A 26,502-nucleotide genomic window follows, 5' to 3' on the forward strand; every position below is an offset into this window, starting at 1 on the left:
TACTCTTCAAAGGATTTTTTTTAATGTGAATGCTCAGCAACAAATGTAAGTAGTGATAAATATTCAGAGTTAAATAACTTTATTGAATATCATGGTTGTTCTGGAACAACTTTGTTTATATTTGCACTCTGGGTGCAAAAGGCATGACAGAAAATGGCTGGCACCAGGGCACAGATCAAGGCAGGGGCACCAGCACCAAATTAGTAGTGGTAGCATTCTTCCCTGCCACACACTGGGGATTAAAAGAAAAAAAGGCAATTTCTCTTAAGAATGTCCTGGACGGCCAGGCACGGTGGCTCACGCCTGTAATCTCAGCACTTTGGGAGGCTGAGGCGGGTGGATCACGAGGTCAGGAGTTCAAGACCAGCCTGGACAAGATGGTGAAATCCCATCTCTATTAAAAATACAAAAATTAGCCGGGCATGGTGGCAGACACCTGTAATCCCAGCTGCTGGGGAGGCTGAAGCAGAAAATTGCTTGAACCCAGGAGGCAGAGGTTGCAGTGAGCCAAGATCGCACCACTGCACTCCAGCCTGGGTGACACAGCGAGACTCCATCTCAAAAAAAAAGAATGTCCTGAAAACGAGGCACTAAAGATAGTTACTTTTATTAGTCTTCTTCATCCTGCCCCTATAAAAAATGCCTCTTTAGTATTCTGAGTGATGAAATGCATGGAGTCCACAAAGCTTCGCTGCTGCGTATTGTAGCATGATGGTTGCCTCAAGGCACAGCGCTCGGGAGTCTGGGCAGGACCAGCTGCATGGAACAGCATTTGGTTTGAAAGAATGATGGGTGGACAAACTGATTTTTCAGATTAGAATAGTTAGCAGAAGCTGTCTTGAAAATGAAGGATGCAAGTCCATCACTGTTGCCACTAACAGAATTCATGTTTTCAAGCAAAAATTAGAACTTTGGAAAACTTTGGAATCATTAAGTATTCAGAAGGTGAGCTTCAGAAGTTCTGATGACTTAACGTTTCTAAGGAGATCTGTGGTGAAATGAATGAATGTGATTTATGGATAGTGTATGAAATGTCAATATTTGAAAATTCTGCATAGTTCAGTCATAAAATATTTTCAAATATGTCAAGGAAAATAGAGCCAAAGTGCAAGATAATCAATGGATATTAATGTAAAAGTGTACAAAAAGTTCACTGACAAGATTTCAGACTCCACATTGCAGCTAACTTTCAAAAACTATCACTTGTTGAGTTTGGTCTGACATCCAAGAGGAAAATCCTCAGGAAAGTCTATTAAACTCCATTTTCCCACTAAAGGTCTACGTGAAGTGAGATTTTCTTCATATACTTCAATCAAAACCACATGTCAAAACATAATAGGCCAGGCGCAGTGGCTCATGCCTATAATCCCAGCACTTTGGGAGGCTGAAGTGGGTAGATCACTTTGAGGCCAGGAGTTTGAGACCAGCCTGGCCAACATGGTGAAACCCCATCTCTACTAAAATATAAAGACTTAGCTGGGCATAGTGGCCCATGCCTGTAATCCCAGCTACTTGGGAGGCTGAGGCACGAGAATCACTTGAACCCGGGAGGCAGAGGTTGCAGTGAACCAAGGTGGCACCACTGCACTCCAGCCTGGGTGAAGGGTGACACTCTGTCTCAAATATTAATAATAAAAATAATGAATGCAGAAGTAGATATGAGAAGTCAGCTATTTTCCATTGAAACAGACATTTAGGAGATGTGTAAGAATGTAAAACAACACAACTTGTCAATGCAATTTCTGTTTTGGGAAATATAGTTTTTTTCATTAAAAAAGGTAATTTTTATAAATGTGATTTATTGTCATTTTGACTGAATTAACAAATATTTTTAAATTTAGAAAAGACAGGCAAACCAAATAAGTGGGAAAATGGCTTGAACAGACCCTCACACAGGAATGCAAGTGTATGGAAAAGTGCCCAATGGTACCAATCATCAGAGAAACATATTAAACCACAGTGAGTGCCATGGTCACCCCAAAAAAGCAGGAGGGACCTCCACTCAAAACTTGGCCCAGATGTTGAGACTGACGATGCCACACACACCAAGAGATACGAAAAGGTTCACTGCTGACATAATTGAATTCTCTGGGAAGCCCAGGGCAGGACTCTCGAGCAGATCCAAAATGACTTGAAAGAGCAAGAAAAAGAGACTGCTCTGGGATTTTATTGTGGTTAGGGGTGGTCTGGGGTGAGAGGCCTCACATGAGGGCAAGGACTTGCGTGGGCTGAATCTCCTTTCCATGGGCACCAAAGGAAAGGAGTAGCAGCATTTCTTGTCTGCCCACATGTGGGGCATAGGGGGAAGAGGGAAGGGTGAGACTGTCAGGAGTCAAACAGCAAAAAATGCAGTCAAAGTCCGCAGTGCAATGAGAAAGTACCACACACCCATGAGAAAGGCTGAGATGAAGGCCTGAGCACGCTGGAGATGACGTGGAACAACTGGAACTCTAAAGTCCTGCCTGGAGGAGGGTCACACGGCCACTTAGAAAACTTTTCACAGTTTCTTTAACACACACTTAATTCATAATAGAGCAATTCCACTTTAGGTAATTCCTCACAGCAAAATGAAAAAATAATCGTAAAAATTCTTGTACTAGAATATTTATAGTTGCTCTTAGTAATAAGCAAAACTGGAAATAAACCATAAATTCATCAAGGGATAATGAATAAAGTGACTGTGGCATATTCCTACAATGGAATCCTACTCACCAATAAAAGAATACATTTAGTTTACATGGAGGTGACCAAAAAAAAAAAAAAAACCACATTGTGATACATGCAATAGCATGACTGACTACCAGAAATACTATGCAGAATAAAATAAGCCAGACATACTCAAGTACATACTGTGTATGACTTCATTTATATATAAAGTTCAAGAACAGCCAAACAAATACATGGTCATAGAAATCGCAACAGCGGTATGATTTTTTGCATGGTGACTGACAGGGACACAAAGGAAATTTCTGTAGTAACGGAACTTTTCTATATTTTGAATGGATATAAACATTTATCAAAACACACTGGAGTGTACATTACAAACTTGCTTTTCACAGTATGCAGATTTTACTATAATTATCTTTTGTAAAAGGAATCCAGAAACTGAGAGAAGATATGTGTAATACATATATTCGATGATACTAATATCCAAAATATATAGAGAACTCCTAGAAATCAACTTAAAAAGACAGATACCCAAATAAAAATAGACAAAATACTTGAAAATCTATTTCACAAAAGAGGATATCTGCATGCATGCTAATCATATAAAAAAGTCCTCAACATCATTAGTCACCTGATAAATGTAAATGAAACAATAATGCCACTATACACCTACCATCATGTCTAAAATTTAAAAGGCCTAAAGTACTGAGTTTGGCAAGAATTTGGATCAACTGGAACTTCTTACCTTGTTGGTAAAAGGATAAATTGTTTGAGTGACTTATAAAATATTTTGGCAGTTCCTACTAAAGATAAACACACACACAAATATACACACATACGTGTACATCTTATGACCTAGCAAATCACTCTTAGGCATACACTGGAAGGAAGTGGGTACTTATGTCCAAGAGTCATGAACAATAATGTTCATAGTAGAGTTATTCACAATAGCCCAAACCCCAGAATTACCAAATGCCTATCAAATCTAGAACAGGTATATACATATTGGGATATTCATACAACAGAAAACTACACAGCAATAAAAATGAAGTACAGTGACATGCATCAAATGTCACCAAGGGCTTCCAATTTCAATTAGAATACAAGAGATTCCTTGACCACAACAAAGCCCGGTGGCACCACCCCTCTCCTTCCTCTGTTCTGCTCCTGCCCTCTAGCGACACTGTGCTTCCTACCCTTTCTTGAACAAAAGAAGATGTGCTGCTCAGAGACTAGTTTCTGAAAGGTCCTTTCCTGGACTTCTGACACGTCTGGTTTTTCTCTCTGGAAACTCATCTTTGTCTCAAGTACCCAATAATCCACCTCCCTAGTCACTCTCCATATACTTACTCTAATTTCCCACATCAATTGTTATGCACTGGATTATCTTGTTAATCTATTTATTAATTTGTTTACTTATTAACTCCTTCCCTCAACTAGAATGTAAGCTATTTGAAGAGAGGAGTCTTTTCTTTCTTTTTTTTTTGAGATAGAGTTTCCCTCTGTTGCCCAGGCTAGAGTGCAGTGGCACGATCTTTGCTCACTGCAACCTCCTCTTCCTGGGTTCAAGTGATTCTCCTGCCTCAGCCTCCACAGTAGCTGGGATTATAAGTGCTCACCACCACACCCAGCTAATTTTTTTGTATTTTTAGTAGAGATGGGGTTTCTCCATGTTAGCTAGGCTGGTCTCGAACTCCTGACCTCAAGTGATCCACCTGCCTCGGCCTCCCAAAGTGCTGGGATTGCAGCATGAGCCAGTGCACCCAGCAAAGAAAGGAGTCTTGTATGTGTCTTTAATTACCTACAATAGTCCCAGCTAGATTTAAAGCCTACTAAATATTTGCTCAATAAATCCAGGGTTCAAGGGCTTACTCGTTATATCAGTAGAATATTAGTTGTAATAGAATATTATATATCCATCAAGAGTGATTTTTAAATATTTAGTTAATATGAATAAATTTTCTTCTGAGAAAAGAAAGTTAAAATGAAAATTTAAAATTGTATACTTAGCATCAGAAAAACTGTGCTGAACAAGGTAATGTATACAGAGCAGTTACTGTAGTGCAGATATTGTACAAATTTCTTGAAATATGAGCATATTTGTCGAGCATTGTGTTAGGTCCTGAATAATTAGTTTAAAAAATCCCTATCTCTACGTAGTTAATATTTTATTAGGCGGGAGTGAAAAGATAGACTAGTAGCAAGTAAGGAAACATAGAATAAAGTTGGGATAAATATGAAAATATTATATGAAGCAATGGAAAGGACTAGAAGAATCAACTTTAGACAAGGGCCCAGGGAAAACCTCTCTGAGTGGGTAATATTTGAGCTGACTCCTGAAAACTGAGGACAATTCCACGATGTGTGTGTGAATTTCTGGGCAGAAATCTGAGCAGTCTGTGCCTGAAAGGGACCAGAAACAACACAGCAGAATGTGTGAGAATTTAGCACTGGTCTGAACTCACACAGGTGTGAGATGAGGCTCTGGGAAGCAGGCAAGCGGGGAAAGCCTGAGCATCACCGCAAAGCATTTAAAGATCAAGAGAGAGCTGAACCACAGCCCAAAAAGTGCACTGAGCTGTATTATGAACCTAAGCACTCTCTGTTGTTGTTGTCTGAGGACTCTCTGTCTAAGGACTCTGTTGAAATAACAGGTGTGAAGAGTGTCCAGTCTCATGATGTATAATAATACTCAGCACATTCAGGATACAGTCCAAAGTTATTCATTATACCAAGGACTATAGAACAATAAACTTGCACAAGAAAATACAATCTTCAGGCACCAACATTGAGATGAGACAGATGTTGGTATTATGTGATGAGGATTTTAAAGTAGCTATCACAACAGTGCTCCAACAAGCAATTACAGGCATACTTGGAACAAGTGAAAAATATGAATTCATGGCAAAGAAATGAAAGATACTAGCAAGAACTAAACGAAAATTTTAGAAGTGAAAAAAATAGAAATAAATTGAACTGGACAGACTCAAGAGAATGGAGATGACAGAGGAAAGATCAGGGATCTTGAAGACAAGTTTAACAGAAATTGTCCTGTTAGAATAGAGGAGACAAAACACAATGGAGAAAAGTGAATATAGCCTCAGAGACCTGTGGGAAAATAACAAAAGGTCTAACTTTCAAATGATTGGAGTACCTGCCGGGCGTGGTGGCTCATGCCTGTAATCCCAGCACTTTGGGAGGCCGAGGCAGGTGGATTGCTTGAGGTCAGGAGTTTGAGACCAGCCTGGCCAACAGGGTGAAACCCGGTCTCTACTAAAATACAAAAATTAGCCGGGCATGGTGGCAGATGCCTGTAATCCCAGCTTACTTGGGAGGCTGAGGCAGGAGAATTGCTTGATCCCAGGAGGCGGAGGTTGCAGTGAGCCGAGATCATGCCACTGCACTCCAACCTGGGCGACAGAGGAAAACTCCATCTCAAAAAAAAAAAAAAAAAGTACAGGACTGAAAATATTTTTGAACAAATAGTGGCAAAAAAGTCACAAACATGGTGAAATACATAAATTCAAGGAGATAAGATAACCACTAAGAGGTCATGTTCAAATGAATCCATGTCCAGATACACCATGACCAGATTTCCGAAAACTCGAAAAAACCAGAGAGAAATGCTCTATTTCCTATATGAGGACAATTCCTGTGACATCAGAAACCATGGATGCCAGAAAAAAACTTCCATAATAAGGTGTTTATTTAAAACTACTCAAATTCACTGGGATTATAACCAGGCTCTGTTACTTACCCACTGTGGACTTCAAGCAATATTCTGAATCAGAATTTTATTTTCTTTATCTTTAAGAGGGGGACTATAATTACAGCTACCGTAATAGATGTGTGAGAATTGATACAGTACTATACATAAAATGCCAAAGAGCGTGTCTGGCTAAGACAATGTTAGCTAATATACCATCAAGATCCTCAACAACCACAAAGTAACAGTAACCTAATACACCGTTATAACTTACTGGAACACGTCCCTGTTTTGTGCATTCCTCACGCACAGAGACTTGGAAAGGTGAGGCTCTTACCAAAGGGGACTCTGCTGTTCTGCAGCCGCCTCCCCACACACACGGAGCCTTTGAGAGCAGGGTCCTAGAGGGCAATGACAGAGAAGGTCCCCAGATATAGGGAAGGATCCTGGAAAAGACCTTCCCACGCCAGCTGTGATTATCATCGCAGCCGCAGTCTCAGTGACACTGTCTGCAAAGGGGTGTCTGACAAGGTCCCAACAATTAAGGCCCTGTCAATGAACTGAAGTTTTCCCACTGACCTGCCTGGAGTAACCCGAAAGGCACAGTATCAGCCTCTGCTCAGCAAAGGATCAGCCTCTGCTCAGCATGCCTCCTGGGACCAGGCCCTTCACCATTGGGCTCTGTGGGCTCTAAATGGAACCTAAGAGATGATCTGTTCCCAGCATTAACATTTACAAATGAAAAAACTGAAATTTATGGATGATGAGGAAAGTTTCTGCAGCCGTTTGTGGCAAACCTAGCAGTGAAGAGTCTTCCAGTTTCCACCCCTCATGTCTCTCTTGTTTTCATCACTCCCCACAGGGAAGAGAAACACACTAGGAGAAAGCCCCTCTGCTTCCCCATCATGCCCGCTTTAATCCCAAGCCTCTGTGTGTTTTCATTCTCCCCAATTCAGCGACCTTCACTGACATTTAAAATGCACCTTCAGGCCGGGCATGGTGGCTCATGTCTGTAATCCTAGCACTTTGGGAGGCCGAGGCAGGTGGATCACTTGACGCCAGGAGTTTGAGACCAGCCTGGCCAACATGGTGAAACCCCGTCTCTACTAAGAATGCAAAAATTAGCCAAGCGTGGTGGCACGTGCCTGTAATCCCAGCTAGTCGGGAGGTTAAGGCAGGAGAATCGCTTGAACCTGGAAGGTGGAGGCTGCAATGAGCCGAGATTGAGCCACTGAACTCCAGCCTGGACAATAGAGCAAGACTCCGTCTCAAAAAAATAAAAAACAATAAAAAATAAAATAAAAATAAATAAAATGCTCCTTCAAAGGTCAAAGCACAACAGGCACTCCCATAACTTAGGAACAAAGAAGTAGGCAAAAAGTGTTCATGCTAATGATTAGGGAATATTCAGAGGAAGGATTCTACCCAAATAGCAATGCAACTATGATGTTTTAGAAACACAGAGAAGTACAAATAAACCGGATAAAAGAACCCATGAACTTAGGAAATGACATAAAGAAAACTTTAAAATCCTAGAAAAATATATGAGGGTGATGGAAAAAAGATTAAGTATTGAAAAGCTGCCAAATGTTACAAATTCAATTTATTGATAGAATTGTATTCAAGGAGCTAATATGTTATAAAAAAAAGATATTCTGAAATTAATTTGGAGTAATAAATAGGAAAGTATAATCAATAAGTTACACTGGAAAAGTTCATCATGAAAAGAAAAGTTCATTCATGAACTTTTGTATATGCAATGCATTTCATGTAGTAATAAAAAAAGATAAATAATTAAGTTATGAGTATAGAAATAACCTGATAACTAAAAGAAATAGAACACAGAGAAAAGAAAATAATTATATTATAAATAAAAATAAAGTACCTGATAATTTGATGCTATAAATTTGGTGGAAAATTTAGAATAATTTACTGAATGGTGTTGTGGAAACCAGGTAATTATTTGGAGGCTATAAAGTTGTTTGACAATTTTTACATACAAACAAAATAAGTTCTTAACAGCTGGACAATTAATTATGTTATAATAGAAATTTCATGTTTTTTGAGAGGTCTTAGGAATTCTTAAGCAAATCAAAAAAGAAAAGAAAGAGGCCAGGCGTAGTGGCTCACGCCTATAATCCCAGCACTTTGGGAGGCTGAGTCCGGCGGATCACTTGAGGCCAGGAGTTAGAGACCAGCCTGACCAACATGGTGAAACCTCGTCTCCACTAAATATACAAAAATTAACCAGGCGTGGTGGTGCACATCTGTAATCCCAGCTACTCTGGAGGTTGAGGCAGGAGAATCACTTGACTGGGAGGCAGAGTTTGCTGTGAGCTGAGATCGTGCCACTGAACTCCAGTCTGGGAAGCGGAATAAGACTCTCTCAAATTAAAAAAAAAAAAAGAAAAATTAAATGGATTAAATTAAAATAATTAGAAATTCTTCATGCATAGCACAGCATAATTAAAAAGAATAGACAAACTAGAAAAATATTTAAAAATATATGAGAAATACAAGGTTAAATTATTACATGGACCATTCATAAATCAATGGCTAAAGACAGAATGCACAGAAGAAAAAATGAGGAATATATGAAATTACTTGCAACTTCATGTTGAAATGAGAACATTTTGTAATACTTTATGCCATCAAATTGGTGAGGTAACATTTTAATTTACAAATCTGCTGTTGTAAAAATATAGCAATATAATTATACTTTTTTCTTTTACTATTGGTGATTCACTTGTGGAGTGCAACTTGGCTACAGGCTTCAGTATTCTTAAACTGTTTTATACCCACCGATCCCCCAAATTCAAGTACTAAAATGTAATTGCCAATGTGATAGAATTAAGCAGTTGGGCCTTCAGGAGGTGATTAAGTCACGAGGGTGGAGCCCTCATGGATGGGTTTAGGGCCTTTATAAAAAGATTTGAAAGAGTGAGTTTGTCCCATTCCATCCCTTCCACCATGTGAGGACACAGTGTTATACTCCTCTGGAGGATGCAGCAACAAGGCACCATCTTGGAAGCAGAGAGCAGCCCTCACCAGACATCAATCCTGCTGGTACCTTGATCTTGGACGTCCCAGTCTTTAGAACCATGAGAAATCAATTTCTATTGTTTATAAATTGCCCGGTCTGTGGTATTTTGTTTTGGCAGTAGAAATGGACTAAGACAATCCCCCAAATTGTTTTTTAATATTCCAAGAAATAATCAGAAGCATAAATAATGACTTAAAATAACTTGATAATTCTATTTTGATGAAAATAATAGACAACACACAAAATAGGAACATGGTGCAATGAGCTATAATAGTATACTATGTTGCTATTATTTTTTGTTATTGTTGATGACAATGATATATTAGTTTGCAAATTTTGTTCAGTGCTGGGAATTGTTTTCAGCATTTTATACATAATAGGATATCAGTTCTCATACACCCAATGAAGTAGATATAATCCCCTTTAAGGGTGAAGGAAATGAAACTCAGGGTGCTTAAGACTATTCCTTAAAATCACATGGAATGTAAAATGATAGAGGCTGGATACAATCACAATCATTTTGACTATTTTTTAAAATACTTTTTGTATAAAATTTTTCAAAAACCACAAATGCAGAAAAAATAAGAGGGTATGAACCTCCACTAAACACTAAGAGGACACACAACAAAAGAACTATGTGCAAACAAAAAGCACAAAACTATGTGCATCAAGGGACACACTCAACAGAGTGAAAAGGGAACTCACGGAATTGGAGAAAAGTCTTGCAAATCATAAATCTGATAAGGGATTAATATCCAGAATAGATCAAGAACTCCTGTAACTCATCAACAACCAAAAAACTCAATTAAAAAATGAGTAAAACTATTTCTTCAGAGAAGATAAACAAAAGGCCAATGAGCACATGCAAAGGTACTCAACATCCTCCATACTTAGGAAAATGCAATTCAAACCCACAATGAGATAGCACTTCACAACCATTAGGATGACTACTATGAAAAAAACAGAAAATGGCAAGTGTCAATGAGGATGTGGAGAAATTAGAACCGTTGGGCATTGCTGCTGGGAGACACTAAAATGAGACAGCCATTGTGGAAAACAGTTTGGTGTTTCCTTAAAAAGTTAAACATAGACTTGTCATAGCTATCAAACATAGAATTATTCTATGATATTATAATATAGAATTATCAGCAACTCCACTTCTAGGTATATATACGATGAACTGAAAGCAGGTACTAAAGCAGATACTTACATGCCAATGTTCATTGCAGCATTACTTACAATAGCTAAAAGATGGAAACCACCCAAGTGTCCACAAGCAAATGAATGGATAAAGAAGATGTGGCATCACATAGGATGGAATATTATTCAACAATGAGACGGGAAAGAGTTCTGACATTTGCCACAATATTGGTGAAACTGAAAGCATTATATGCTACATGAAATAAGCCCAACACAAAAAGACAAATACTGCATGATTCCATTCTGTGAAGGAGCTAGAATTAGTAAATTCATGAGTAAAAGGAGATAGAGGTTACTAGGGGCTGAGGAAGGAGGAACTGGCAGTTGTTTAATGGATACAGAATTTCAGTTTGGATCAGGACAGTGATGTTGGTAGCACAGCATTGTTACTGTAATTAATGTCACCGAATTGCACAATTAAAAATGGTAAAAATGACAAATTTTATGTTATGTATATTTTAGCACAGTATAAAAAGGAAAAAAAAATAATGAAAGTGTCCACCATGAAGGGCTGCTGTGAGGACTAAATGAGCTGTATACATAAAAGGCCTGGCCCAGAATGAGCACTCAGAGATGTTTTTTATGCGAATAAAATGTTAGACAGGTTCCCCAAGCTTCATCTGCGTAAAGTTTTAACATGATCTCTGGATGCTTGTCAGATAATTCTCTAGATTAATTACTTGAAAAGCATTACACACACACACAGTTTTGTGATCTGCTTTTTTCAACAAAACAAAATATTGGAACAAAATTTCATGTTACAGTTCTCCATCTAGATCATAATTGTAAATAGCTAATTGTGTGGTGATAATCAGAGTGATATTTAACCAATCCCCTATTCTGAAATATTGAGGTGGTTTTCCACTTGTCATTGTTTGAAAAAAACCACGCCAAATGTGTGTATTTACAATATTATTCCCTTGCCAGATTTTCTAGAATACATATCTAGAAATGGAATTACTGACTCAAAGAATATACGTATTTTTAAGATTTTGATTTCTGTTACCACTGGAACTTTGCTAAAATAATTTTACTGAGAAAGTGAGGTGGTACATTTTTGTATGAGGGTCATGTTGTTTAGTTTTTAAAAATTGCAGTAAAATACACTAAAGAATGCAGTTCAGTGGTATTAGACATTTATATTGCTCTGTTACCATTACCACTATCCATCCTCACAACTCTTTTCATCTTGCAAAGCTGAGACTTTGTATCTATTAAAAATAACTCCCAAATGAGTTCAAAACTTATGTCCACACAAAGACCTAAACACAAATTCTTATAGCAGCTTTATTCATTAAGTGCTAAAGCTCAGGAGCAACTTTGATGTCCTTCAGTAGATGAATGAATAAATAAACTATGGCACATACAGACAATGGAATATTCAGCACTAAAAAGAAATGAGGCTGAGGCAGGAGGATAGCTTGAGGCCAGAAGTTAGAGACTAGTCTGGCAACATAGCCAGACCTCGTCTCTACAAAAATGTAAATAATTAAAAAAAAAAAGAGTTGGGTGTAGTGGTGCATACCTATAGTCCCAGCTGCTTAGGCAGCTGAGGTGGGAGAATTGCTTGAGGCCAGGAGTTTGAGGTTACAGTGAGTTATGATGGTAGCACTGCACTCCAGTCTGGGTGACAGAGTGAGACCCTCTCTCCATGAAGAGACATGGAGAAACTTTTTTTTTATTTTGGTATTTTTTGTAGAGACAGAGTTTTGCCATGTTGCCCAGACTGGCCTCAACCTCCTGGGCTCAAGCCATATGCCCACCTCAGCCTCCCAAAGTACTGGGATGACAGCATTGAGTCACTGTGCCTGGCTGCAAAACAGGAAGTTGGGAAGCATATCACTAAGTGAAAAAAAACCAATCTGAAAAGGCGACATACTGCATGATTCCAATTACACATTATAGAAGAGGCAAAGCTATGTAAACAGTAAAAAGATCAGTGATTGCCAGGAGTTAGGGAGAGTGAGGGATGAACAGGTGGAGAACTAAGGGTTTTGGGGGTCAATAAACAATTCTGTATGATACTGTTAAGGTGGATACATGTCATTATTATATTTGTCCAGATTTACAGAATATGCAACATCAAGTGTGAACACTAATGTAAACTATGGACTCTGGGTCATAATGATGTGTCAGTGTAAGTGCATTGATGGGAACCAATGTAACACTTTAATATAGGATGTTGACAGTTGGTGAGGCTGCGCATGTGGGGAAGGGGTAGAGGATACATAGGACCTCTCAGTACTTTGGGCTCATTTTTGCTTTGAACATATAATTGCTTTAGGAAATAAAGTCTGTTAAAAGGTGTTTTTTAAAAAGATAATGAATAGGTACAAACACTAAGATGACAAAGAAATTCAAGTGATTTGATAGATGTTTTAAAGCAGTCATGATAAAAATGCCTCCAATGGCCGGGTGTGGTGGCTCAGGCCTGTAAACCCAGCACTTTAGGAGGCCTGGCGGAGGGGGGGTGGATCAGCTGAGGTCAGGAGTTCGAGACCAGCCTGGCCAACATGGCGAAACCCTGTCTCTACTAAAAGTACAAAAATTAGCTGGGCATAGTGGAATGCGCCTGTAGTCTCAGCTACTCGGGAGGCTGAGGCAGGAGAATCTCTTGAACTCAGGAGGCGGAGGTTGCAGTGAGCCGAGATCGTGCCACTGCACTCCAGCCTGGGTGACAGAATGAGACTCCATCTCAAAAAAAAAAAAAAAAGAAGAAAAAACCCTCCAACAAGCAATACAAACTTGCTTACAAAGAAAGAGAAGATACAAAGAAGAGATTGAGAACTGAAAAATAATAATATAAATAACAATATAAACCTCAACATATGGGCTCAACAGCAGAATGGAAGGGATAGAGAAAATAAATCAGTGAACTTCAAGATAGAACAATAGAAATTACCCCAATTGAAGAACAGAGAGAAAGTGGGATGGGAAAAAAAAAATGAACAGAGTGTCAGGAACCTGTAGGACTAACAAAGGATCTAACATTTAAGACATTGTTGTCCCAGAAGGAGAATAGAAGGAGGACAACGGCAAAATAAGTACTTGAAGAAATAATGACCAAAAATCTCCCAAATTTGATTTGGCAAGAGACATAAACCCACAAATTCAGTGAGCTAAGTGAATTCCAACAGGATAAATCCCCCAAATCCATGTCAAGACACATCCATAATTCAACTTCTAGAAACTAAAAGCAAAGTCTGAAACTCAGTCAGAAAAAAACGACACTTTATCAACAAAGGGAAAACAATTTGCACGGCAACATGATTTTCACCAGAAACTATGGAGGCCAAACGGGTGTGCAAAATACGTTTTAAGTCCTGAAAGAAAATACCCTATACACGGGAAAAATATCCCAGGGTGAAGGAAAATTAGGAGAATTTGTCACCTGCCGAAATCACTTAATGAGATAGCTAAAGGAAATTCTCTAAACAAAAATAAAATGGTAAAAGCAGGAAGTTTGAACATCAAGAAGGAAGAAAGAACAAGGTAAGCAAAGTGTAGGTAATGACTGTAGGCTTTACTTCTCTTGAGTTTTCTAAATTATGTTGACAGTTTAAGCAAAAAGTAGAAAACTGGTAGATATGGTTCTAAAAGTAGAAAGAGAAAATATTTAAGACAATTATATCATCTTAAATGAGGGTGGGGCAAAGGAATATGGAGAGGGCAAAGAAACACAAGGGGACATAAGGCTTTTATACTTCACTTGAAGTGGTAAAATGTCAACCCTGGTAGATTGTGATGTTATGTTTATAACGTAATATCTAAAACAGCCACTAAACTAGATATTCAAACAGATATCCTAAAAAACACAACAGATAAATGAAAATGAAATTCTAAACAAAAGTTTGAGTAATCCATAGGAAGGAAGAAAATATAAAATAGAGAAACCAGAGAAAGAGCAAACAAAACCCAAAATAAAATGTCTGACATGAACCATAATACATCAATTATTACACTAAATGTAAATAGTCTAAATGTATTGATCAAAAGATGGAGATTGGCCTGTAATCCAGCACTTTGGGAGGCTGAGACAAGCGGATCACTTAAGGTCAAAAGTTCAAGACTAGCCTGGCCAACATGGTGAAACCCTGTCTCTACCAAAAATATAAAAATTACCCAGGCATGGTGGCCTATGCCTGTAGTCCCAGCTACTCAGGAGGCTGAGGCACAAGAATTGCTTGAACCTGGAAGGCAGGGGTTGCAGTGATCTGAGATGGCATCACTGCACTCCAGCCTGTGCAACAGAGTGAGACCCTGTCTAAAGAAAAAAAAAAAAGATGGAGATTGGCAGAGTGGATTGAGAGACATGACACAACTGTATGAAGTCTATAAGAAAATCATCTCAAATATAATAATATTAGCAGGTTAAAATGAAAAATTAAAGGATGGTAAATACATGTTTTGCAAATATTATTCAAAAGAAAGTAGAAATGGCTTCTTTAGTATCACAAAAGTAGATTTTAGAGCACAGAAAAGAAAGTTAGCAGATAGAGACGGACGGTATCTAACCACATAAAGACCAGTTCACCAGGGAGACATAGCAATACTAAATGTGATGCCAGCCAAACAACAGAGCTGAAAAATATATGAATCAAAAACTGACAAAATAGACAAGTCCACAATTATAGTTGGAGACTTCAATACCTCTCCCTCAATGATTGATAGAACAACTAGCAGAAAATCAGTAAAGATATAGAACAACTCAAGAACCAACCAACAAAATCAAATCAACATTTATGGTCCACTCCACTTAGCAACATCAGAATACACATTCTTTTCAAATGACCACAAAATATATATCCCAAGATAGGTCATATCCTGGGCTATCAAACAAGCCTCAACAAATTTTAAATAAGTGAAATCATATAGAGTGTGTTTTGTAATGACAATGGAATCAAATGAGAAATCAATAACAAAGATAACAGGAAGATATTCAAATGACTAGAAACAAAACAACACACTTTTAAGTAATCCATGGGTCAAAAGGAAGTCTCAAAGAAAATTTAAAAAATACAGTGAACTGGGGGACCAGGCGGCAGCTCGCGGAGGTGCTTCTCCGAGCGTGACGCGCGGACTCCGCTCCCGCAGCCCGCTCGCCCGCCAGTCTAGCCGCCGCCTCCCTCGCTCCCTGAGCCCGCCAAGCGAAGGCCAGCGGCCCGAGCGACGCGGCGCGGAGAGGGCAGGCGGGCTGTGGGAGCGCCGGTCTCTATATGGCGGCGGCTCTGTCGCGCCTGGCTGTCCGGCTCTAGCGCTCAGCCGCCGCCCGCTCCTGTGGAGTCTTACGCAAGGGGCTGACTCGCAAGCTGCTGTCTTCTTCAATCTGGCCTGGTGGCTGCGCATCAACTTCCCCTACTTCTACATCGTGGCTTCCATGATGCTCAACGTCCGCCTATAGGTTCATATTGAGATCCATTGAAGGCCCTCCCGGACTGACGAAGGCGTGACCTCAGGCCCACGGCATCCAAGAACACGAAGCATGAGGGACAGAAGAGGGCCCCTCGGCACCTGCCTGGCACAAGTGCAGTGGGCCGGAGGAGGTGACTCGGACAAACTGTCATACAGCCTTAAGCAAAGAATGCCGATGGAGGGCCCTTGGCCTGCAGATGCACCCTCCTGGATGAATAAGCCTGCGGCTGATGGAAATTCAGAGTGAGGCATTATCACTGGAAATGAGAAAGGATCCGAGCAGGGCTGGCCTCTCGCTTCCCAGTGGCGGCCCAGTTCTTCCATATGTGAAAGAATCAGTAAGAAGAAATCCAGCCTCAGCAGCCACTCCGAGCGCAGCCGTGGGTTTGTTCCCTGCTCCAACAGAGTATTTTGCTCGGGTGTCCTGCAGTGGTGTTGAAGCTCTGGGGCGGGACTGGCTGGGAGGAGGGCCCAGGGCCACCCACGGCCACAGAGGACAGTGCCCCAAAGGAGAGCCTCAGGTGTCACGACTGCCATGCCATCAAAAACTGCCGGAAATGGGAAGTTTTCAGGATGACCCACCAAGTGCTTTTCCCAAGGGTCTGCGCTCTGAGTTGGAACCCTCTTGCCTGCATTCCATCCTGTCTGCAACACTGCAGGCGTGTCCCGAAGAGCTCCTGAATGACGAGACAAAACGCATTTTCCTTGACCGTTTAAACCCCATGTTTTCAAAGCAAACAATAGAATTCAAAAAAATGCTTAAAAGTACCTCAGATGGTCTGCAGATAACACTGGGGTTACTGGCTCTGCAACATTTTGAATTAGCAAATTCATTATGCCATAGTTAAGGTACAAGCAGAACAATACAAGTAGATTAATTTTAAGAGTTGTCTTAGAATGATTAAGGTGTGGTTTGTACGACCTGGCAGACTTAGTTGAGTTTAAATTCAAAACTGGTGGATGCGGAAGGAAATTTTTTAGCATATGTTAAATTGTGCTTTAAAAGACATATAAAGAATTGGGAAACATTTCAGGAGACGATCATAGCCTGTATAAATATCAGATTAGAACATACGGATTTACGATGAAGTTCTGTCTTCAACACCCAGCATTGTCTAAAGGGCTACTGTCCCAAATCCTGTGTGTCCCTTCAGCTTGTCTGATCACCCAACGGAAGTGGATACTTGTAAAGTCTACACCGCTGTACTTGGCGTTAAATCTTGCTGAATTTGTGGTAAGCTATTATCATTTCTACATTTTGTAGAATGATTTTGGTCTGCAGCAAAATTCTATTTCACTTCTTACACCCCTTTCCTTCCACTTGAAATGCAATTTAGACAGAGGCCCTGTGGTGAAAGTTGCAATATTAAGCTTACCTTTAGAAGATCCCTTCTCAAACTCAGAACCCTAGCAGCGTTACCTTAAAAATGAGCTCGAGAGGCCGGGCGCGGTGGCTCACACCTGTAATCCCAGCACTTTGGGAGGCTGAGGCAGGCAGATCACAAGGTCAGGAGATCGACACCATCCTGGCTAACACGGTGAAACCCCGTCTCTACTAAAAAAAAATACAAAAAATTAGCCGGGCGTGGTGGGGGCGCCTGCAGTCCCAGCTACTCGGGAGGCTGAGGCAGGAGAATGGCGTGAACCCATAAGGTGGAGCTTGCCGTGAGCCGAGATGGCGCCACCGTACTCCAGCCTGGGCGACAGAGCGAGACTGTCTCAAAAAAAAAAATGAGCTCGAGAAAAAAGTAGCTCAGTTACAGAGAAGCAAATCAAGTTATTTCCCAGATAAAAAGTTTCCCAGATTCTAGGAATTGCAGTATCTTGTACCCTAAAATTTTTCCAGGTGACTCCTTTTGTTGTCTGTTGATAACTTTAATAAAGGTCATTTAAGGGCATAAGGTTTTAAAGACTCCCAAAGTGAGACTTAACCATTTTCGGGATTAGCGATTGCATATATCAGTTTATGTTGTGTGCTTAATTACTATGCCATGTGCTATTTTAGTGTTTGGGGAAAATGAAAAATAAAATTTGTTCTTTGGATTAATAAATATGTCTTAATAAAAAATACAGTGAATGACAATGAAAATGCAACACATCAACATTTGTGGGTATGTATAAAGCAGGGTGAGAGGGAAATTCATAGAACTAAATGCATAAATTAGATGATAAGAAAATTATCAAGCCAATAATTTAAGCTCCCACTTGAAGTACGTAGAAAATAAGAGAAAAAAAAACCACTCAAAATAAGAAGGAAGGAAATAATGACTATAATAGCAGAAATCAATGAAATTTAAAACAGAAAAACAATAAAGAAAACCAATGAAACAAAGAGCTGGTTCTTTAAAAAGATCTATAAAATTCACAAACATCTACCAAGAGTGACAAAGCAAAAAGGAGAGAATTATAGATTAGAAATATTAGGCATGACACAGAAGGTATCACTAAAGACCTTGTAGATGTTGAAAGGATAATAAATGAATACTACAAACAACTCTAAACACATACATTTGGCAACTTAAATGAAATAGACCACTTTCTTGAAAAGCATAAACTACCACAACTTATCAATATAAAACAAATAATGCAAATAGCCCCACATAAGATCTCCAGGCTCAGATGGTTTCACTGGAAAATTCTGCCCAAAGTTTAAAGAATAATAGATACCAATTCTGTATATCCTCTTCCAGAGAAAAGAAAGACAGCGGAATACTTCTCAAGTGATTTTATTTATTTATCTCATTTATTATTTTTACCATTATCAGAATAATCACATTTATTTACTTCCTGTCTTATTCCACCATTTGTATGTAAATTCCATGGGTAAGGGCCTGCTCTTACGTCCCACACCTCTAGGTCTACAGAGCCTAGAGACAAAGGTGTGAGGAAAGCACTCCGTGACCCTCCCTGGCCAGGCCACATGAGTTCTGGATCTGAATTTAGAGCCACAGACTTTAAGCACTAAAATAAACCTGAGGTTTTCCAGAGGCGTTTAACTTTCTCCTTTAATAGACAAGAATGCACCTAAGAATGGAGAGTGGCTTCCTGCAGTAACCCAGCCACTCAATAGAGACTAAGCCCACAATGACCTGAGTCAAAAAGTCTGCAACCTTTTCCCCCCAAATCCCACCTTCTCCTTCTCTCAACTCATTTTTAAAAGCTAGTATTACCTTGATACCAAAAACAAAGACAGTTAAAAAAAACAAAACAAAACAGGAACTACAGACCAATATCCCTCATAAATATAGACACAGAATTAAGCAATATGTAAAAAGAACTATATGCTATGAGCAAGTGCAGTTTATTCCTGGAAAGCAAGGCTTGTTCCATATGTGAAAATCAATGTAACCTACCATATTAACATGATGAAGAAGAGAATCACATAATCGTATCAATTGATGCAGAAAAATCATTTGACAAAATGCATGATAAAAACTCTGAGAAATCCCAGGTGTGGTGGCTCACACCTGTAATCCCAGCACTTTGGGAGGTGAGGCGGGTAGATCACATCAGGCCAGGAGTTTGAGACCTGCCTGGCCAACATGGCGATACCCTGTCTCTACTAAAAATACAAAAAAATTAGCCAGGTGTGGTGATGCATGCTAGCTACTTGGGAGGCTGAGGCATGAGAATCACTTGCACTTGGGAGGTGGAGGTTGCACTGAGCTGAGATTGAGCCACTGCACTCCAGCCTGGGTGACAGAGTGAGACTCTGTCTGAAAAAAATAAAATAAAAATAAAAACTCTGAGAAAAATAACAATAGAGAGGAACTTCCTCAATTTGATAAAGAGCTTTTACAAAACCTCCAACACTTAACATTATACTTAATGGTCAAAGAAAGAATGCTTTTCTCCTAAGAAAGGGAATAAGGCAAAGATATATGCTCTTACTACTCTAATTCAATACAGCACAGGAAGTTTTAGCCAGTTCAGTAAAGCATTTAAAAAAAGGCATATTGATTGGAAAGGAAGAAATAAAACTGTTCACTTTTGCAGATAACATGATGGCTATGTGGAAAATCCAAAGAAATCTATTTTAAAACACCAAAATCAACAACTCCTAGAACTAGTAAGTGAATTCAGCAAGGCTACAGGATACGACATAAATATACAAAAAAATCAAGTGTACTTTGAGTGATGAACGCTTGGATATAAAAATTAAAAATACAATAAGTACCATTTATAATTGCTCAGAAAAGGAAATACTCATTTCAAATTCTAACAAAACATTCATAAGACTTGAATGCTAAACATTAGAAATTCTGATGAAAGAAATCAAAGATCTAAACAAATGATGAGACACATCATGTTCTTCAATTTGGAGACTCAAAATAGCAAAGATGTTAATTCTCCCCAAACTCATATATACAATTCCTACAAAAATTTCAGCAATATTTCTTGTAGATGAATACAAGATTATTTTAAAATTGTCTTGGAGATGCAAAGGAACTAAAATAGCTAAAACATTTTTGAAAAAGAATTACCAAGTTGGAAGAATCAATCTATCCCATTACAAGACTTATTGTGTAGCTATTGTAATCAACAGCACGTGATATTGGTAGAGTGAAAGATACACAGACAAATTAAACAGAACAGAGAACTCAGACCCACATAAATATAACTGACAGGTTATTGACAAAAGCATAAAAGTAATTCAGTGTGGGGAAAGGAAGTTTTTTCAACAAATATTGCTGGAGCATTTGCATATCCATAAGCAAAGTTGAATGGTGACATGAACCTAACACTCCATACATGAATTAATTCAAAATAGACCACGGACTTAAATGTAAAACTACAAATCTTTTAGAAAAATACATTAAAACCCTTCAGGACCTAGGGCCAGGCAAAGAATATTTTAAACTTTACAACAAAAGCATCATCAATAAAACCAAAAATAGATAAACCGGACGCTATCAAAATTAAAGAAAAAAATTTTGTTCTGTGAATGACCTTGCTAAGAGTATGAAAAAACAAACTACCAACTAGGACAAAATGTTTTGAAAGCATATAGCAGACAAAGGATTAGTATCTAAATTACATAAAGAACTCTTAAAACTCAATAGCAAAACAAACAAACAGAAAATGGGCAAATGATATGAACACGCATTTCACCAAAAAGCACAGACAGATGTCAAATAAGCACAAGGAAGGACATTTAACATCATTTGCTATTATGAAAATAAAAATTAAAATTATGATGAGCTATTACTATACACATATGACAATGGTTAAATAAAAAATAGTGACAACTCCAAATGCTAGTGAGGATGAAGGGAAACTCTTTCCCTTATTTACTATTAATGGGAATGTAAAATGGTACAGCCACTCTGGAAAAAAGTTAGGCAATTAAAAAAAAATGAAACTGGCAGTGCCATACAACTCAGCAACTGCATCCTTGGGCATTTGTCCCAGAGAAATGAAGACTTGTGTTCACACAAAAACCTGCACATAAATGTTTAGAGCAAGTTTATTTGTAGTGGCCCCAACTGGAAACAACCTACATGTCCTTTAGTTCGTGAACAATTAAACAGTCTGTGGTACATCCATAGCATAGAATACTATTCAGCAATAAAAAGGAATACACTATTGATATGCACAACATCCTGGATGAATCTTCAGAGAATTACAGAGTGAAAAAAGCCAATGCCAAAAGGATACACAATGCATAATTCTGTTGATATAATATTCTTGACATGACAAAACTATAGAAATGGAGAACAGATTCAGTGGTTGTCAGAGATGAAGGAGGGCCTGGGGGCAGGAGGGAAGTGGGTGTAGCTAGAAAAGGAAAACTTGAGGGGGCTTTTACAGTGAAGGCAATGCATTTTGACTGCATCAATGCTAATATCCTGGTTGTGATATTGCAATATAGCTTTGCAAGATATTATTGTTGGGAGAAACTGAGTAACTGGAATGCAGATCTGTGTAAATAATATTCTTAAAATTGTTTGTGAATCTGCAATTATCTTAAAATTAAAATTTTAATTAACAATACATATGTTCTACCTCTATCCACTGAATATTCTAGGAGACAAAAATCTAGTAGCAACAAGCATTCCTGTTGTCTACATTGTGGACTCTAAATGTTATCTCCATCTAAAAGGAACTAGAGATCCTTAGAGAAATGGTTGGTTCTCTATCTGGGGCAGGAAATGTACCAGATGAGCCTGCAGCATCTTATTATAAACAGATGCCAAGAAGCCATCAAGGACTACTGGGCACATGTCTAAAGGGTCCAGACACCAACGTGAAGAGGCTCTCACTGGCCAGATATGGGATAATTTGAGCTGTAAAAATGATAATAACTGCAATGTTTTGAAACACATCAAATATTTGAAAAACTCAAGACTTTATAATGATATTAAGAAAGCTCATTAGGCTGGATGTGGTGGCTCACACCTGTAATCCCAGCACTTTGGGAGGCCAAGGCTGGAGGATTGCTTGAGGCCAGGAGTTTGAGACCAGACTGGGCAACATGGTGAGACTTTGACTCTACAAAAAATAAAAAAGTCAGCTGGGCATGGTGGCACATGCCTGTAATACCAGCTACTTGGCTGAGGTGGGAGGATAATTTGAGCCCAAAACTTCAAGGCTGCAGTGAGCAATAATTGCGCCACTGCACTCCAGCCTGGGCAACAGATCCAGACCCTGTCTCTAAAAAAAAAAAAGAGCCCCATTTGTTTCCTTTGGAGGATGCTAGGGAACCAACTGATTGCTATAATAATTGGTAAATGAAGGGAAAGAATCTTGATTCTTGATCCTCCATTTCCTGCACAAACAATACTGAAGATTCAGGTGACGAGGGGAAGCTGCTGCACATACAGTCACCTCTGCCCTAACTTCCATGCTTTGGCTGTTCAGTCTATCCTCAGCGCTTCAGGAGATGCTCCTGTTAAACAAAAGTCAGATCATGTGACTCCTCCACTCAAACCCGCCAATGGCATCCTGGTTCACTCATAACATGGACCCAAGCCCTTCCCTGAGCTAAAGGGTCAACACCATCTGTCCCCACTGCCTCCTAACATGGGCCCCTCCCTCACTCTCATCAGCCACCCTGGCCTCTTGCTCTTTCTCACACTCAGCACGTGCGGGCCCCAGGGCCTGTGTACTTGCAGAGCCTTTCCCAGATTCCCCTGCGGCTATGCCTTCCTCACTTACCCAGTGGTTGGCTCAAGGGTATCCTTATTGGAGAGGATTCCTGTTTTGTGTATCCACTTGTGGTCCCAAACCTCACATGGTTCCATCTGATTCTACAGGCCATGTGCTTCTCCACTAAGCTGCACTGTGTGAGGGACTAAGTGGAGGGCAAAAAGTCAAGGGGCTAAGTGGAGGGCAAAAAGAAGAAAAAGACATAGTCCCTGCCCTCCACAATCTTCAATTTATAGCAGAAAGCCGGGAACACACACACACACACACAGCCTGCTCAAAGTGAGTTTGCCCTGGAACATGTGGGAAGCTGGCCTAGTTCTGCACAAGAAGGGAACCCTGTATAAATGGACTTAGCGGAGAAGGTCATCCGAGAGGAAATGAGCCCTGTGCACTGAGCTCTGAAGAGCAGGAGGGCTGAGGTGGTGTGGGACTGAAAGTAAGATTATCTGGAATTATCTGGGTGGGTCCAATCTAATCCCAGAAGCCCTTAAAAGCAAAGAACTTAGCCTGGAAGCAGAAGACAGTTGCATGCATGTACTACAGTTTGGTTATGCACTTCCCAGTAGATGGACATTTGGGTTGCTTCTAGTTTGGGGCTGCTGTAAACACTTTTGTGCAAGGCTTTTTGTGGACATGTGTTTTCATTTCTGTAGATGCTGTGGTTAAGTGGAAGAGGTATGTATAAATGTTTTAAGAAACTTGCAAACAGTTTTCCAAAATGGTTGTATCACTTTACACCATACGGTAGTGTATGAGAGTTGCTGTTGCATTAGTAGTGATTAGCCTGTTTCATTTTAGCAATTCTGGTAGGTCAGGGGGCGATTTTGATCTGCACTTCCTTGATGATTAATGATGCTGGGCATCTTCTAATGTGCTGATCTGCCATATATCTTATTTTGTAAATTGTCAGTTCAAAGCTTTTATACATTTTAAAATTTGGATATTAGTCTTTTTATTATTGAATTGTAGCAACTTTTAGAAAATATATTCTTTTTTTTTTTTTTTTTTTTTATAGTATTTATTGATCATTCTTGGGTGTTTCTCGGAGAGGGGGATGTGGCAGGGTCATAGGATAATAGTGGAGAGAAGGTCAGCAGATAAACACGTGAACAAAGGACTCTGGTTTTCCTAGGCAGAGGTCCCTGCGGCCTTCTGCAGTGTTTGTGTCCCTGGGTACTTGAGATTAGGGAGTGGTGATGACTCTTAACGAGCATGCTGCCTTCAAGCATCTGTTTAACAAAGCACATCTTGCACCGCCCTTAATACATTTAACCCTGAGTTGACACAGCACATGTTTCAGAGAGCAGGAGGTTGGGGGTAAGGTTATAGATTAACAGCATCCCAAGGCAGAAGAGTTTTTCTTAGTACAGAACAAACTGGAGTCTCCTATGTCTACTTCTTTCTACACAGACACAGTAACAATCTGTTCTCTCTTTCTTTTCTCCACATTTCCCCCTTTTTTTTCTACAAAACCGCCATCGTCATCATGGCCCATTCTCGATGGTCGCTGTCTCTTCGGAGCTGTTGGGTACACCTCCCAGATGGGGCGGCCGGGCAGAGGCACTCCTCACTTCCCAGACGGGGCAGCCGGGCAGAGGTGCTCCTCCGGGCAGAGGCGCCCCTCACCTCCCAGACGGGGCGGCCGGGCAGAGGCGCCCCCCACATCCCAGACGGGGTGGCCGGGCAGAGGCGCTCCTCACCTCCCAGACGGGGCGGCCGGGCAGAGGCGCTCCTCCAGGCAGAGGTGCCCCTCACCTCCCAGACCGGGTGGTCGGGCAGAGGCGCCCCCCACCTCCCAGGAGGGGCGGCCGGGCAGAGGCGCCCCCCCCACCTCCCAGACGGGGCGGCCCGGCAGAGGTGCCCACCACCTCCCAGACGTGGCGGCCGGGCAGAGGCACTCCTCACCTCCTGGACAGGGCGGCCGGGCAGAGGTGCTCCTCACTTCCCAGACGGGGCGGCCAGACAGAGGCGCTCCTCACATCCCAGATGATGGGCAGCCAGGCAGAGATGCTCCTCACTTCCTAGATGGGGTGGCGGCCGGGCAGAGGCACTCCTCACTTCCCAGACGGGGTGGCCGGGCAGAGGCGCTCCTCACATCCCAGACAATGAGTGGCCAGGCAGAGACGCTCCTCACTTCCTAGATGGGGTGGCGGCCGGGAAGAGGCTGTAATCTTAGCACTTTGGGAGGCAAGGCAGGTGGCTGGGAGGTAGAGGTTGTAGCGAGCTGAGATCACGCCACTGCACTCCAGCCTGGGCAACATTGAGCATTGAGTGAGCATGACTCCGTCTGCAATCCCAGCACCTCGGGAGGCCGAGGCAGGCAGATCACTCGAGGTCAGGAGCTGGAGATCAGCCCGGTCAACATGGCGAAACCCCGTGTCCACCAAAAATGCAAAAACCAGTCAGGCGTGGTGGCACGTGCCTGCAATCCCAGGCACTCAGCAGGCCGAGGCAGGAGAATCACGGGAGCCTGAGGCAGGGAGTTTGCAGCAAGCTGAGATCACGGCAGTGCAGTCCAGCCTTGGCAACAGAGGGAGACCAAAGAAAGAAAGGGGAGGGGGAGGGGGAGAGGGAGAGGGAGAGGGAGAGGGAGAGCTAGATTTCTTCTAGTCATTAAGCACTTTGGGCCATTTTTCTGTGCATCCGATCTGACATTTTTGCTCTCAGATGAAACATGATAAAGGAAGCCAAGACGCCAGGATTCCTGGAGGGGACCTTGGGTGCTGGGTCTTGGGCTCCAGGGCCCTGATGGGACTGAACCAGAAGGAGCCAGGGAAGGGCAAACACTGGGGCTGACGCCCTATGACCCAATGGCCATTGGTGGCCGGGCCTTATGGCCCCAAGACACCCTGTCCTCAGGCCACAGACACCATGGGCTTTGGTCAGGTCCCAGCCTCCCAGTAGTGTCCTGGTACTAGCAGGTGCTGACCCCTGAGCCACAACCACAGTTTTGGGTTTTGGGTTTTGTAAAACCACCTCAGGGACAGAGTTCTGGGGTTGGGTTTGGCAGGAACCATGGCGCCACCCAGGGATGGTGTGTCACTCCTACTTGCCACAAAATGTGCACATAGGCTGTCCCACTGCCCAGCACATCCTGCTGGACAGGATGGAGGAAGTCAGGGAACAGGCAGGGTGGACATCTGGGGTGTAGGGAGAGGCAGGTGCATGCTGGGAGGTCAGACCCTGGGAGGGTTGTGGGGGCATCAGGTGGAGTGGGCTCCAGGTGTACCCTCAATGCACTGGGCAGGTCTCAGGCCAGGCTCCCTGGACCCTGGCTGGGTGATGTGGTCACTGCCTGGGGTACTGCTGTCAGGTCCCGGCCACC

The 26,502-nt window shown here is 41.1% G+C and overlaps 1 long non-coding RNA gene and 1 pseudogene across 2 annotated transcripts, besides 1 other annotated feature; one reads left to right on the plus strand and one right to left on the minus strand.

Moving 5' to 3' along the window:
- Positions 2,257–2,757: an enhancer, noted in NCBI's record as "H3K27ac hESC enhancer chr9:99870099-99870599 (GRCh37/hg19 assembly coordinates)". NCBI's record gives its function as "activates a minimal SCP1, AML or CMV promoter by ChIP-STARR-seq in naive H9 embryonic stem cells {active_cell/tissue: H9 hESC(naive)}" and the evidence as "EXISTENCE:reporter gene assay evidence [ECO:0000049][PMID:30033119]".
- FAM220CP (family with sequence similarity 220 member C, pseudogene) lies at positions 15,652–18,088 on the plus strand (annotated as a pseudogene).
- LOC105376166 (uncharacterized) lies at positions 18,739–25,119 on the minus strand. Of its 2 annotated transcripts, XR_930154.3 has the most exons (3): positions 25,083–25,119; positions 23,187–23,322; positions 18,739–22,917 (listed from the first exon to the last, which is right to left on the minus strand). It is a non-coding gene; the product is annotated as an uncharacterized LOC105376166 (long non-coding RNA). The 2 variants fall into 2 exon arrangements; XR_007061683.1 differs by having other exon boundaries at positions 18,739–23,322.
- Between the last annotated feature and the right edge of the window lie 1,383 nt (positions 25,120–26,502).

The sequence above is a fragment of the Homo sapiens genome, chromosome 9 (genome assembly GCF_000001405.40).
Source record: "Homo sapiens chromosome 9, GRCh38.p14 Primary Assembly".
Classification (NCBI taxonomy): Eukaryota; Metazoa; Chordata; class Mammalia; order Primates; family Hominidae; genus Homo; species Homo sapiens.